This window comes from Homo sapiens, chromosome 9 (assembly GCF_000001405.40).
Source record: "Homo sapiens chromosome 9, GRCh38.p14 Primary Assembly".
Lineage (NCBI taxonomy): Eukaryota > Metazoa > Chordata > Mammalia > Primates > Hominidae > Homo > Homo sapiens.
In genome coordinates this window covers 112,557,111-112,573,787 of record NC_000009.12, presented here as the reverse complement: position 1 = coordinate 112,573,787, position 16,677 = coordinate 112,557,111, and the positions used below count along the sequence as shown (strand labels likewise).

General features: G+C 39.5%; 1 protein-coding gene across 4 annotated transcripts in view; it reads right to left on the bottom strand.

Moving 5' to 3' along the window:
* KIAA1958 overlaps window positions 1–16,677 on the bottom strand; it is a 182,571-nt gene that overhangs the window by 95,610 nt on the left and 70,284 nt on the right. The gene's annotated exons all lie outside the window — the stretch shown is intronic.

The following is a 16,677-nucleotide window of genomic DNA, read 5'->3' as shown; positions in this document are numbered from 1 at the left end:
GAAAGGAGAGAAAGAAAAAGAGAAACAAGCAATAAAGAAATGAGCTTTTCCATGGTACATTTTACTTCCAAAGTCACTGACAGAGAGGTTCAGATGGTCCCTCAATAATAAAATTGTGTCTATTACTTGCATTAACCAAGAGGATGCAGCTCCAATGACACCCTTTGTCATCAGAAACTTTACTACTAGAGGCAGAGCCAACAAAGGAGGTTTAGATCCATCTTAGGACGGAGGTCAGAGAGAGCAAGCCAGTCCTCTACTGGGCACCAGAAGACAATGCAACTGGGAGTCCAAGGAGAGGATGAGGGGCTCGATTTGAGAAGTGGGAAAGAAAAGCAGAGAAGGGAGAACAGACTGGGAGGAGACCTGCTGGAGGGGAAGGCTGTAGACCAAAGAAGCAAGGATGGGGAAGCGGGAGGCCCTGCTCTAACCACTCTTAGGACCAGGCTTCCTGTCTCCTGGCTGTCTGCAATTCCTGAAATATTGCCTTTCATCCCACCATTAGAGGTTACAAAGTATGTCTGGTGTTTTCTACCATCTGAGGGTCTCATAAAGCCAAGCATAACCAACTATCAAATAGAAGCAAATCATTCCTTATTAGGCAGGAGACAAAAAGAAGCCCTTGTTAGGAGTCCCTGAGGAGTGAGGACAACATGATGGGTAGGAAAGTGAAAGGGGACATGTGGAGTCTGCAAGGGGCTGGAAAGGTTAGTAAGGCTCTGCCAAGAGGGGGGTCCTGGGAGCACTGGTCAGGGAGGCACAGGAATCTTTATGTGTGATTTTGTCGGCCCTGGCTATCTGCAGCTGTGGGTGACAAGAGGTGCCCCGCTGGTGCTCTGCAGTCAGGCACCATGGTCTAACCACAATGTCAGGTGGTTACACCAAAGTGGACAGACACCTGAGCCATTCCCTGCCCTGACTCCATGGCGCCCTGTCAGGGAGGTTAGGTAAGTTCAAATCCTTTAACATACTATTAAGGTCTCTGTTGATGTGGCCACGGCCACCTCTCAAGCCTCATTTCCTACGACCATGGCCTCTTCCCACACTTCTTGTGGTCCCCTCTTCTCTAAACCCCCTACTGGTGAGAATCTGATTCTTTGGCTTGATATGCTGCCCTTCTCTTTCCTCACCTGGCCAGCCTCTTCAAAACTGAACCTGCGGCTACTTCCTATTGGCATCTTTCCAGACCCCCTTTCTGCCTCAGAGATTTATTTAGCTTCCCTTCACCCATGCCTGTATCATCTCAAGGGATTTGCCTTTGCTGTACTGTTATCATTGATTTGCTTGTCTGTCTCTCAGACCTAATAATTTCCTGAAGGCAGAAACTATGACTTAATTATTCACTCATCAGTGAGGACCTACTTGGGGATATGGAAATTCAAAAGGCATGGTCCTGTTCTTGGGACATTATAACCTATTGTCTAGTATGCAGTCGTTGTCGAATAAATGAATGAAGAATGAATGAATGTTTACATACTGCCAGCACCATCAACACTTACAAAGTGAACGTATAAGACTCTCTCAAGTCAGACACATAAATTTTCCTCAGATCACTTTTATTGTAATCATTCAAGGGATTAGACAGTTTTCTCCCGGATAGTGTAACCCAAACCCAGCCACCCTGTATACGCAGAAGAGTGACAGATGAGCTCCCAGAGTTCATGAAGCAGCCATGTAAACGGAAAGAACATTGACTGGCGTGGGAGTCAGGAACGTGAAATCCCAAGCCTGGAACTGCTCCTGTGGTCTCAGACAAGGCACTAATTATCTCTAAGCCTACAATGCCAGGACTACGTGATCTTACATTTCCTTCATACTCTAGAAATTTAGACTTATTTATGTTCCTTTCATGTAACTTTGGTTAAAGTAGAAATGTTAAAAAAAAAAAAAAAAGACATAGATTGGTTTGTGTGTTTGTTCTGAACTTTTTTTATTTTATTTCTTTTTATTTTTTATTTTTATTTTTATTTTTTGTTTTTATTTATTTATTTATTTTTTATTTTTTAACCTAGGGGTGTCCCTAGGTTGCCCAAGCTGGTCTTGAACTGGGCTCAAGCAATTCTCCTGTCTCAGCCTCCCAAAGCTCAGGGATTACAGGCATGAGCTACTGCACCCCAGTCTGTTTTGAACTTAACATAGCTATTAATATTTAATTGGTGTGGCAGAGACTGCTATTTTGCCTACCCAGTGTCCATTCTCTCTTACTCCTCACAGAGAGTCCAAATTTGTTAAGGCAGCAATGTGCTCACTAAAATATTTTTCCCAGCTTCCCCTGGAGCAAGGGTGGCCCTATGACACAGTCATGGCCAAGGACACGTAAATGGAAGGGGTTCGCATCATAATCCTGAAAGACAAAATTCTGAACGCCATAGTTCCAAATGTTGAAATCCCGAAAGATCAAAATCCCTAAAGTCTAACATCCCCAAAATCACAATCATAGGATAGCTACATCATGTTAGGTGGAACTATTACCTTGTTATTGTCTTTATTTGGAAATTAAGTATGGTTTAAGGAAATGCATATGAGTGATAAACTGACATGGGGTGAACTTGTGGACTTAAATTCAGGTGTCAATTTGACTGGATTAAGGAAGACTTAGAAACCTAGTAAAGCATTATTTGGGGGTGTGTCTGTAAGGCTGTTTCCAGGAGAGATTAGTGTGTGAGTCTGAGTGGATTATGTGAAGATCTCGCCTGAATATTGGCGGGCACCATCTAATCAGCTGGGGCCCCAGACAGAACAAATACAGAAGGTGAATTGTTCTCTCTCTGAGAGCTAGCATAGGCTTCTTTTTCGCTGCCTTGGACATCAGAACTGGAGGCCTCCAGCCTTTGGACTCTGGGACTTACGCCAGCAGTTCCCAGGTCCCGGCCTTTCAGCCTCAGGCTGAGAGTCACATCATTAGCTTCCCTGGTTCTGAGGCCTTTGGATTTGGACTGAACCACTATACCAGCATCCCAGGGTTTCCAGCTAGCAGACAGCCTGTTGTAAGACTTCTCAGCCACATAATCGCATGAGCCAATTCCCCTAATAAATGCCCTCTCATGTATATATGCATATTCTATTAGTTCTGTCTCTCTGGAGAATCTTGACTAATACAGATTTGGTACTGGCAAAGCCAAGTATCATTCCTTCTTACTGTATTCCTTACAACACAACAGAAGAGACTACGAAATGTTCCCTTGCAAAAGGGCTGTGATAAGTTAAATATACAAGGTTACTAAATGGTGAAAGATAAAAGTTTAAAAGCTAATTATTATTGGTGCTGCACAAGCAGAAAATTGCTTAACTGCAGCAGCCAAGCAACAAGCAGACTTTCAGATGGATAGCATATACTTACAAAATCTGTAGACCACAACCACCCTCCAAATACAAGTGCAGCAAGTGTTTCAAAGATCACAGAAAACACAGGCCAAAAGTGCAAGAAATCTCCCCGGCCAAATTATTCAATCATGTAAGACTTCTGCCCCTTCACGTATAGCACCATGCTTCCATTCAAAAAACGCCCTCCAGCAGAAAATAAAAAGAATTCAACAAGCTCAGTGACCTTCTGAACCAAAGATACTTGTTGATACTGAGGTTCTTCAATGTTAAAAAACAAACAAACAACATTAAATGGTGAACTATTCTTGATTAGTTATTTGACTGTCAAAGACAGATTTCTTATATTTACCACTAAATCTAACACAGAAGAACTAGCACATGCTTCACGTTAGCTAATAAACTGCACTTTCAAAATCATTCCCACTGTTTATCAACTATATACAATTCATGTCCCTGTTAGATCTGAAAATTCTAGAACTTATCCACTCAATTATGTATTAATGACAAGAAAAAGTAAAACACTTAATAAATGCTTATTTGGGCCAGGTGCAGTGGCTCACACCTGTAATCCCAGCACTTTGAGGAGCCGAAGTGGGTGGATCACTTGAGGTCACGAATTTGAGACCAGCCTGGCCAATGTGGTGAAATCCTGTTTCTACTAAAAATACAAAAAAAATTAGTCAGGCATGGAGGCGCACACCTGTGATCCCAGCTACTCGGGAGGCTGAGGCGGGAAAATCATTTGAACCCGGGAGGCGGAGGTTGCAGTGAGCTAAGATCATGCCATTGCACACCAGCCTGGGTGACAAGAGCAAAACTTGTCTCAAAAAAAAAAAAAAAGAATTCTAAAAGGAATTTCAAAGTGTTACCAATAAAGTTTGTGTTTCCCATTCAGCCTAATGCATTTGGCAGGAAATTCAGATGAGCTGATTGGCTACAATGATATGGCAATGATACAAACTTCAGTTAAAAGCGTCATTTGCCTGCACTGGCATTCCTTTCAGCAAGATGACATTCCAGAAGCTTTTAATGAATTAAAGCCATATTGCCTGAAGAAGCCAGCAATGTACTGACTAGTTCAAAAATAATTATGTGCACAATAGGATAAGAAGACACTTAATGCAATGGTGTTGCTGTTTCATCACCAGTATTGCTTCTGCCAAATTTGTGGTCTCTGTATGAGTACATGTAGAATGAATTTCCACCTACTCACAATACAGAAGCATGGCACAGAAAACGGGGAAATTTAATAGGCAATGCTCATGTTGTTGTATATGGAATCATACAAGAATTTCAAAAAGAACAGTACCACATATAGAAGGAATGTGAACATATTCTCCAACGAGAGCCATGTCCGAAAAGACAAAAAGCAGCTATTCATCAAGATGCAACACTTCAAAATACAGTTAATGATCATGAAAGTCGGCCAGTTCTTACAGACTACCTCCATGCAACTGCCATAATATATCCCTGTAACACACATTGTCATATGTCAATTTTTTTTTTTTTTTTTTTTTTTTTTTTTTTAGTTTTCCTATTCTTAAATTGGCAGCTCTATTTTTTTTTTTTTTTTTTTGAGACAAGGTCTTGCTGTGTTGCCCAGGCTGGAGTGCAGTGGTGAGATCACAGCTCACTGTAACCTCTGCCCCCTGGGCTCCGGTAACCCTCCCACCTCAGCCTCCCTAGCAGCTGGGACCACAGGTGCGCACCACCACACCTGGCTCATTTTTATATTAAATTTTTTGTTTGTAGAGATGGGGTTTTGCCATGTTGTCCAGGCTGGTCTTGAAGTCCTGAGCTCAAGCGATCTACCTCAGCCTCCCAAAGTGCTGGGATTTCAGGCTTGAGCCACCATGCTGGGCCAAGCACTATTTATCTTACAATGTGCTATGCTATGTATTTCATCTTATCATTTCCAAAACTGGAGGTATAAACATCGGGAAGACTTACAGAGTTCTAATTTATTTTATGTACTTTTTGCAAATTTGACTCCAAAAAGGTACATTACCACAATGTTGACTGTGTGTAAGCACTGTCTGTGTACATAAAAGCACTGAAATGTCCTTAATAAATGAAGAGATATCCTTTTCATACATCTGCATTTGTGAAAAATAAAATTTCTCAAGATCTTAGTAGCTCTTTGGACTGCATATGCAGTGATGACCCATCACGGTTTTGATGGATGTCATCAAAAGACTGAGGTTGTCTGTCACAGTATTTCAGATGACCTCAGTTGTAAAAGCTATTTCTTCCTGAATATGGTTCATCTGCTCATAACTGTTATACCCATGAAACTGTCATTAGTATACCTGAGTGTTTCCGTTTGCAAAAATTTGTATGCTAATATTGCCTATTTTATTTTATAAAGTGACCTATGAAGTGTTCTGCTGTGTTTTTATGTTTCTCAAATAAAAATAAAAATTTTTAAAAATGTAAAATAAGTATCCTTTAATTTTTTTCCAGAATTGTATTTTCGGGATTTTTTTTTTTTTTTTTTTTTTTTTGAGATGGATTCTCGCTCTGTCGCCCAGGCTGGATTGTACAGTGGCACAATCTCTGCTCACTGCAACCTCCGCCTCACAGATTCACGCCATTCTCCTGCCTCAGCCTCCCAAGTAGCTGGGACTACAGGCACCTGCCATCATGCCCGGCTAACTTTTTGTATTTTCAGTAGTGATGGGGTTTCACCATGTTAGCCAGGATGGTCTCAATCTCCTGACCTCGTGATCCACCCACCTCGGCCTCCCAAAGTGCTGGGATTACAGGTGTCAGCCACCATACCTGGCCTGTATTTTCGGGATTTTGATCTTTCAGGATTGATTTTCAGGATTTTAGACTTTAGGGATTTTTATTCGGGAGTATGGTGCTCGTGGTTGTTTCTTTCTGGATTATGATCAGCTCCTAAATGGAAGTCACTGGGTGGGGTTTTGGGAAAGCTCTTGAAACACAGATTCATCTGGTTTTTACCTTTTCCCCTTAGTTCTTTCCCTTTCTTTCCAAGTGGAAAAAGATAGGATGACTGGAACTACAGAGGCCTCCTGGGAGCATAAAGAAGAACTTAAGAATGGCAGAGAACATCAGGAAGGAGCTTGGTTCCCTGGTGACGCCCTTGAGCCACAACATCAGCTCTGAACTGCCTGCTTCAGGGATCCTTATTATTTATAAGGGAAAGATATACTCTTGATCTTGTTTAAGCCACTGTTGTTGGAGTTTTTTCTTATTTTTGTTTGTTTTGTTTTGTTTCACCCTGTCTTAGGGAGCTGGGGAGTTGTTATATATAGCTGAACTCAATTACTAATTAATACACACAAAATAATACATTCCTCCCTGGTTTTTGACACCTTAGAGTATAATCCTTCACTTATTCTGCACCATACTCCAGTATAACTGTTACTCAGATTAGAGATTCCACAAATAAATTCTTGGAAGGTCCTTAATTCTATGTCATAATGTTTTTACCACTTTTCATTTTTATCATAATAAAAAATAATTAATATGAGCATATTATTAATCATCGAAATAATCATATATCCATGTACTGCCATGTAATTTAAACACCCCTTTGCCTCACATTAGGGCCCATAATCACCTTAAGTGACATCACTCAACTTCCAATTTGTTAGAAAACCTGTTCATGCTGTATTCATCTTAGCACATATAAATAAAACATTTCTCTTTTGCACTAATAATTTTAAAACAAAAGTCCTCCTGATTTGACATCATAAAAATAACATAATGTGATGGTGGAGTAATATACTACTTTTAAGTGTTGTAGGGCAATGAGAAAAGAAAAGGAGTTGAAATAAATACTACATGTTCACAGAAAATCATATACATTACAGCACAGTATTTTTTTGAGGCAGGGTCTCGCTCTGCTGCCCAGGCTGAAATGCAGTTCACTGTGTTCTTGAACACCCAGGCTCAAGCAATTATCCTGCCTTAGCCTCCAGAGTAGCTGGGACTACAGGCATGAATTTATGGCACAATATTTGGATGAAGATGTTGGAACAGTTTAAAAATGTAAAAATGTGGCAGAATCAAGGCACCAAATTGTAAAGGCGGGGAGAACTCTAAAGAACCTATTAACCAGGTAGAAGCTACTATACAATAGTAAAATAGTACCTTTGCTGAAGGCCCTCATAGCTATAATAACAAAATGCTAAAGTGAAAATAAAAGACCAGGTGGATAAAATTATAAATTTTATTAAATATTATACATTTAATTTTATTAATATTCACTAATCTTTAGAATCAAAAGATAGGCTAGGCACGGTGGCTCATGCCTGTAATCCCAGCACTTTGGGAGGCCAAGACGGGCAGATCACGAGGTCAGGAGATCAAGACCATCCTGGCTAACATGGTGAAACCCCGTCTCTACTAAAAATACAAAAAATTAGCTGGGCGTGGTTGTGGGCGCCTGTAGTCCCAACTACTGGGGAGGCTGAGGCAGGAGAATAATGTGAACCTGGGAGGCGGAGCTTGCAGTGAGCTGAGATCGCGCCACTGCACTCCAGCCTGGGCGACAGAGCGAGACTCCGTCTCAAATAAATAAATAAATAAATAATCAAAAGGTAGTAAACATTAAGTTGCTTTTATTATATTCTTAAATCCATCGCCAATCTCATGGAGAGGCTCTTAAACTTTGAGTACCATAAAATGAAAATATTTTTCCAGAATTACTATCAATATATTTCAACCTGGCAACCATGTTGACTAGTAGTTTTGAGAGAATAATTAGCTGATATATTAAGGCAATTAAATATATTGAGTCAAAAGAATAGTTATCACTCTACTTCAATATATTGTAAGTTTCATACAAATTGAAATCAACAATAAGACAATCAAGGTATTTTTTAAATTCTGAGAATAAAGTTTTTAAAATCTACTGATTGCCATCAGCAGTCAATGATAATCTCTATGCTGAAAAACAATGCTGCTTCTACATTTTCAAGAATTAAAAAATAACTTCAGGTGGCACTTCCCCATATCTGACATGGGCAATGATTGGATAAGACACTTACAGAGTTATCAAGTGACACTTGATTAAAAACTGAAATTCAGGCCAGGTGCAGTGGCTCATGCCTGTAATCCCAGCACTTTGGGAGGCCAAAGAAGGAGGATTGTTTGAGCCCAGGGGTTTGAGACCAGCCTAGGCAAGGTGGTAACACCCCGTTTCTACAAAAACAAAAAACAAAAAACCTTGAAATTCAAGGAGTTCTAGCTGGTGGAGTTTAGGTTAAGTATAATACACTATGTTAGCAATGCTATGAACTTAGGCAAGTAGACAATCTATGTATTAGCATTTATATTATGAAAGCCAAAATCAGAAGCACATTAAATATCGAATCAGCCTTTCTACCATTAAACTCAAAATTAATCATTAGGTTTCAGTAGAACAATAATACAACAATAATTGCAACTAAAGCTAATATTTTTTAGACAATTCTTATTTGCCAAGCACTGTTATGACTCATCACACCAAGAATCCTAATTATTATCAATAATTCTAATTTGACTAAATTAATTATCCTCATTTTAGAAATAAATAAGTCACTTGCACAAAGTAAATGGCAGAGCCAATATCTGAACTTAAGTCTTACTCTAGAGCCCATGCTCTTATTTATATTACATGGCCACTGGTATTACAATAGTAGGAAGATACTGTCTCAAGTCTGGTTCCCTATAAATTAATGTTGTTAATTTGATATTATCTGGTTTGATAGATTTAAGTTGAATTTGTAAGTACATTTTGATTTATAGCTGTATCAGAACTATAAATTTTATGTTTACATACATTTAAGTAGCATTATAATAAAAACTATTTAAGCCAGCACTAGTCACAAAGGTCCATGAAAATACTTTTTCTTTCAAAAGTTTGAGAAAAATTTCTTTACAGAAAAAAAAGGTATGAAAGGATTATGTCACTTTTTCAAAAGATGACAAAATTAATTAATAACGAAATAACAGTGAGTCCCTAGTTAGCTTCCACCTGACTTCAGTCACAACAATCTACCCAAAAATCCTTGTAGTCTCTCTGTTTACAAGGTTCTGAACCTTTTAGAGTTTGTTGTTGCTGTGTTTTAATGCCACTAGATCTCTACTGCTGATGCATGACAAAATTGACACAAAAAGAAACAGAAAACCTAAGTAACTATATGCCTACAAAAGAAATTGACTTAAAAAAACTTCTCCAAAAAGAAGGCTCAGGTGGTTTCACTGGTAAATTCTATCAAATATTCAAGGAAGAAATAACACAAAAATTATGCAAATATTTTCAAAAATATAGGGGGAAGAGAAAGCACTTCCTTCAACTTGTTTGAGGACGCCAGCATAACTTTTAAAACCAAAACCTGACAAAGCCAATATAATAAAGACAATTATAGATCAATATTCCTCATGAGTATTGATGTAAAAATCCTTTACAAAACGTGAGCAAATGTAATTCAACATAGTAGCAGTCTACAGGAGAAAAACCACTCAATTATTTCAATAGATGCAGAAAAAAGCATTTGACAAAATTCAGTACCCCTTTATGATAAAAACTCTTAGCAAACTAATAATGGTAGGGAATTCCCTCAAACTGATAAAGAGCATCTGTACAAAATCTACAGCTAATATATTTAATGTAAAAGACAACTATTTCCTTTTAAGATTAGGAATAAGGCAAAAATGCCCACCTGTATCACTCTTATTCAACATTGTACTAGAGGTCCTAGCACTGAAATAATATAGTCGGGGGTGAGGAGGGAGGAGAAAAGGCAGAAAAATTGGAACAAAAGAAGTAAAACTGATCCTATAATATATGTAAATAACATGGCTGTTTATGCAGAAATCACCGAGAATTCACAAAGCACTGCCAGAACTCATAATTGAATTTAGCAAAGTAAAGGATACAAGATTAATATTAAGAGCTCAATTATTTTCTACATACTAGCAGTAAAATATTTAAAAATTATATTTAAAGAAATTCTACTTATAGTAGTGCCAAAATATATGCCAAGGAATAATTCTTACAAAAGATGCCCAAGACTTCTATACTAAAAACAACAAAACAATGCTAACAGAAATTAAACATGACCTAAATAAACAGAAAGATATACCGTATTAGTGGATTGGAAGAGTCAAAATCATTAGGTTTGCAATTATTCCCAAATTTATCTATAGGTTTGATGCAATTCCAATCACGAAGGTCTTGCAAGTCACGTTAAAGACTTCAGACTTTATTATAGAGATAAGAAAATATTACAGGCTCACACCTATAATCCCAATACTTTGGGAGGCCAAGGTGGGAGGATCACTTGAGCCCAGGAGTTCAAGACCAGCCTGGGCAACACTGTGAAAATTTGTCTCAATTAAAAAAAATTTATATATATATATAGAGAGAGAGAGAGAGAGAGACAGAGACAGAGAGAGAGAGAGAAAGAGAGAGAGAGAGACAGAAAGTTAAGATGAAAGGGAATTAAATGTTTGAGCTTAAACTGTGATTTAAAACACATTCATAAAGGCTAGGTGGCTCATGCCTGTAATCTCAGCACTTTGGAAGACCAAGGTGGGAGGACCGCCTGAGCCCAGGAGTTTGAGAACAGCCTAGATGACATAGCAAGACTCCATCTCCACAAAAAGGAAAAAAAAAAAAAATCCTGACATAACTTCTACTTCCCCTAAAACAAAAACAAAAAAGAAGGAAAAGACATACAATCAATTTTGACAGATGTCAACAGTATGTTTCAGATTACCTATAAACCTTGTTTACAGAAGAATGAATACAGAAGGAAGTCAGACCATTCAAGTACAAAGCAGAGAATCAGCAACATTCTCCACTGACCAACGCAGATAAAAGCTTCTGGGTCTCTTCAAAGGGCCTCGGTGGCAGAAGTTCCAAGTATTCTGAATAGGTGAGGATCACATTAGGCTTTCTAGAATCTCAACTGCCCTGCCCTAAACCCAAACTGATATGCATAAAACTTAAGAAGTTCTGCCCACAGGCTCTTCTGGGTGTGTGTGAGATACAACTCATGTGAGCTGGGACAGTGCAGGGGTGAAGAGCCTGGACTCCACTGCCAGATGGCCTGGGTTTAAATCCTAGTTCTGGCCACTTGCTAGCTATGTGACCTTGGGCAAGTTATTTTACCTCTCGGTCCCTTAGTTTCCTTATCTGTAAAATGATAAGAATACTGACTTCACAGTGTTATTATGAGAATTAAATGAATTTATATCTATAAAATGTGAAAAAAATAATCACTTCATAATTGCTCACCTGAAATTAGGGGCTTTCCCCCCATTTTGGTGGTCTACCATGTAACTACAGAGAATAATACACAATATAGTGCAATACACTCACAAAGTGAGGCCCAGACAGCGAACATATACAATACAGCACAGTGCACTCAGGCACAAATGAGGTTCTCATTTAACATTCTGACTTCTTAGACTCAAGTCACTCCTAAATTTAAAGCAACATTATAAAACAAGGCTCATTTACCCAGACATCTCCGTCTCTGGGAGCCATGCAAACAGGCCCTTAGACCAACTATATGATCTATTCTGCAGCTCTCTGAACCATCAATCCATCAATCCCAGAGTTTTTTTGTTTGTTTGTTTGTTTGTTTGAGACAGAGTGTCACTCTGTTGCCCAGGCTGCAGTGCAATGGCACGATCTCGGCTCACTGCAGCCTCTGCATGCTGGGTTCAAGTGATTCTCCTGCCTCAGCCTTCTGAGTAACTGGGGTTACAGGTGCCCACCACCATGCCTGGCTAATTTTTGTATTTTTAGTAGAGACAGGGTTCCACTATGTTGGCCAGGCTGGTCTCAAATTCCTGACCTCAGGTGATATGCCCGCCTCAGCCTCCCAGAGTGCTGGGATTACAGGGGTGAGCCACTGCACCCAGCCCGAGTTTCTTTTAAGAGAAATCATATGGGCTTTTCAGTAGCATTTCTATTCAATAAATATTGTATGACAGTGGGCCACTAGGCACTGGGGATACTGCCATTAATAACAGTCATGAACTGTGCTCACATGGAACTCATGGTGGCAAGGCAGGAAGAAACAAAGAACTAATGATACAAGAAATAATTTTGCTGCAGTTCTATTAAGAATTTTGCAAAGACAGGCCAGGTGGGGTGGCTCACGCCTGTAATCCCAGCACTTTGGGAGGCCGAGGCAGGCAGATCGCGAGGTCAGGAGACTGAGACCATCCTGGCTAACACGGTGAAACCCCGTCTCTACTAAAAATACAAAAAATTAGCCGGGTGTGGTGGTGGGTGCCTGTAGTCCCAGCTACTCGGGAGGCTGAGGCAGGAGAATGGCGTCAACCTGGGAGGCGGAGCTTGCAGTGAGCCAAGATCACACCACTGCACTCCAGCCTGGGCAACAGAGCAAGACTCCATCTCAAAAAAAAAAAAAAAATTGCAAAGACAATACACTGAGTGCTAAGAGAGCATAAAACCATAAAAACCTGTTCCATTTTCAGTGTAAGCTTCTCTGAGAAAGTGGTATTTAAGTTAATTGCTGAAGAATTAGCAAGAATTCACAGATGAAGAAGGGAGGGGACAGACAGAGAGAAAAGGTTTTTCCAGTCAGAAGGAAAAGCACAACCAAAAGTCCTAAGAAAGATTCTGGAAGTCTTCCATGATACCTATCAAAAGTTATCCACCCTTAGCAACTACCTTGCAATATTCTAGCATCCCACAGACTCAGGATAATAGATGCCATGATCTAAAGTAATTCTTACCCTAACCACTTCTACCATACTTCACCTACCCATCTCCTAACAAATGCTGCTCACCAGCTCTTTGAGAAACTGATCCAGTTTAAGTCCTAACTTGAAATACAGTTATGTGACGCAAACTAGTTATACCTTTGCCAAGAAAATTAATTTTTAAAATAATTTGTAATATAATTTCTACGGTCGTGGAAAACAAACACCTTGATCTTAGTCAATAATTTGATACTGATACTATATCAAAAATGCAAGGCCAGGTGTGGTGGCTCATGCCTGTCATCTCAGCACTTTGGGAGGCCAATGCTGTAGGATCACTTGAGGCCAAGAGTTTGAGACCAGCTGGAGACCCTTTCTCTATAAAACATTTAAAAAATTAGCCAGAGGCAGTGGCATGAACCTGTAGTCCTAGCTACTCGAGAGGCTGAGGGAGGACGACTGCTTATGCCTAGGAGTTTGAGGTTATAGTGCACTATGATCATACCACTGCACTCCACCCTGGATGACGCAGCAAGACCCTATCTCTTCAAAAAAAGAAAAAAAAAGAAAAAGAAAAAAAAAGCAGCTTCAAAAATATCAGTGCAGGCCAGGCCAAGGCAGAAGGATTGCTTGAGGCCTAGAGTTCAAGACCAGCCTAGGCAACATAGTAAGACACTGTCTCAAAAAAAAAAAATCAGTGCAGCTACCTAAAATACTTATAAATACCTCAAAATTCTTAAGAACTTTCCCAATCATTCATGTTTTTTAATTTATATAATTTATACTAAGTAGGTTTTTAGTATACACTATCAGAAAAGGATTAAAATGAATTGCAATGGCATTCCACTCACTAAAATTGTTCCCCATGTGATGACTAGCAATATTATTCCATCACATTTTAAAGTGGTTTTCTCATCAATGGGCGAGATTTGACATGATTCATACTTTACAGCCCACTCAAAGAAGTATAGTAAATAGAAAATCTGAAAATTCTGTCTCAGAGTGAGTGATGTTTAACATTTTTAATTGCCTTTAACATAGCCTCATTCTCCTGATGGAATTGTCCAAGGCTTAACAGAGTAACAGTGTCTCATAACAAAGAATCTGTCCCCGATGCTTGAAAATACAGCCTCACCTTGGTAAATAAACTATAGGTGGGCTGATCCCAGATTTCAGAGAACAAAGTGAAATACATGTGCCTCCCCAGACTCCACTGGAACTGCCCTGGCCAAGGTCACCAATAACCTCTATATCAAGACATTCCATTGGCACTCCTCAGTCCTCTTCTCTTGGCTTCTCAGCAGCAATCAGAGCTGTTCTCTGCCTCACTTGAAACCCTCTCTTCCCTTAGCTTCCATGATACTGCCTTTCCTTATTCTGCTATTCTTGGTTTCCTTTGCTAGAGCACATCACTCTATTTTGACCTTTAAAACCAAAGTTTATCAGTGTGTTTTCTTCTCATAGTCTCACTAGATGAGGCTCTCCTTCACCCCTGTGGATCTGGTTATCAGACAATTAATATACAAATTAATATCTCAGTAAATGGCATTACCATCCCTTCAAATGCTGAAGCCCAAATCCTGCAAGTCACCCTTGACTCCAACACATCCTTCACATGTCTACGTAGAAGAACCTGCAGGGCTGGTTCAATTCCAAGAACTCATCCCTGGTCGCTGGTTTTCAAAACTACTATGTTTTACAAAGCTTCTGATTTGCATTGCTGCTACACTTCTGAAGGGTGTAGAAAAAGATGAAACATGCAGGCATGTATTTTCTTTGTGCAGAGTGGGTGAACCTTAAATTAGCATTTTAAATGTGGTAATAAGTTAATATTATATAATACTTTGTACCCAAAGTGTTGTACCCAAAGTGTTATATAATATACAAATTAATTCTTATATCTTCACTAGCTCTTAGGAAGGGAGGACAGGTCTTTCTTATCACTGTGAAATATTTGCTCATGGGAATGAGATCTGAAGCTACGGTGTATATCATTTTAATAGCCCCTCCATTCTGACTCTTATTTTTAGGTATGTGGATGGTGAGTGCTGAAAGTGGTATAATTGTTCCAGATGAGAGATGGTGAGTCAGTGACAATGTTGGGAATGTGAGTAACCTATTTTTATTCATAAAATGAAATATTTTAGAAACTCTGAAATAGGCTTAACAGACATCAAGATGACTTGAATTTCAGGTCACTGGTAACAGGACTAAGCCTCCCAATTTGGGGCCATACCACTCATTCTAGAAAATATTCAAAGAAGTAGAGAGGTCATTTTCCTGAGAAATGCAAAAGAATTTAAAAATTGACACGGTTTTAATTTGGTATTATGGTCCCTTTGCAAAAGCACAAAAATGTCCTTATCTCTTCCCATATAGTTCTAGAATGTATATTCTGACTCAATCTACTTATCTATTTTACAATTAATACTACACCATTTAAAATTACTGTAGCTGAATACTTTAAATTCAAGAAGGCAAACCCCTTCTCATTATTCTTATTTTTCAAAATTGTTTTCTAATTGCTAACTTTTTTTTTTTGAGACAGAGTCTCGCTCTGTCTCCAGGCTGGAGTGCAGTGGCGCGATCTCGGTTCACTGTAATTTCCGCCTCCCGGGTTCAAGCGATTCCCCTGCCTCAGCCTCCTGAGTAGCTGGGACTACAGGCGCGCACCACGATGCCCGGCTAATTTTTTGTATTTTAGTAGAGACGGGGTTTCACCATGTTGGCCAGGATGGTCTCGATCTCCTGACCTCGTGATCCACCCGCCTCGGCCTCCCAAAGTGCTGGGATTACAGGCATGAGCCACTGCGCCCAGCCTCTAACTCCTAACTTTTATGCAAAGTGTCCAGTATGCCATATCATATTAAATATGATATTAGGTATTTATTCCTATAACATTTTCTTATACTATGTTAAAAATGTTTTCTGTCTTTCTTAGTTGGAAAAGCTGTTGAATTTTATCAAGTATTTGGTCAAGTATAAATATGATATTTTTGTTTTTCATGTCGTAAGTTACATTTACAGATTTCTCAGCGTTGACCTACCTCAGATTCCTACAGCTACTTCTCAGTTTCTGTCACTGGCTCATCGCCCTTGCTTTGACCTTAAAACTAGGTTCATCAGTGGTCCTGGCATTCCTTTTCTCATGGTACTGTCTCATGAGATGATGCTTTCATCCACCTCTGTGAATCTGGTTAGCTGAGATATATACCCTAATGTTTCCCTAATTAATATCTCAGTAGCTGGCAGAGACATCTTCCTGGCTGCTGAGGCCTGAATCCCAGAATTAGATTTCTAAATATTTTTTAGGATTTGAGAGATCATTACACAAATACACTGCTTAGGGGCTGGACAGATGTGTGCCAGGGCCAGGCATCTTTGTGCTCTGTGATCCTTCTCTAAGTCCTGAATGCAGGCTATAGGAGGGTAGAAATTTTGCCCAGCACTGTCTTTAGCACCTTGAACAAAGCCTAACACACAGAAGGCATTCAAGAAACACTGAATGGGGCTGGGTGTGGTGGTTCCTGTAATTCCAACACTTTAGCAGGCCAACCAGGGAGGACTGCTTAAGCCTGGGTATTCAAGGCCAGCCTAGGTAATAGAGTGAGACCCTGTCTCTACAAAAGACTGGAAAAATTAGCCTTGTGTGGT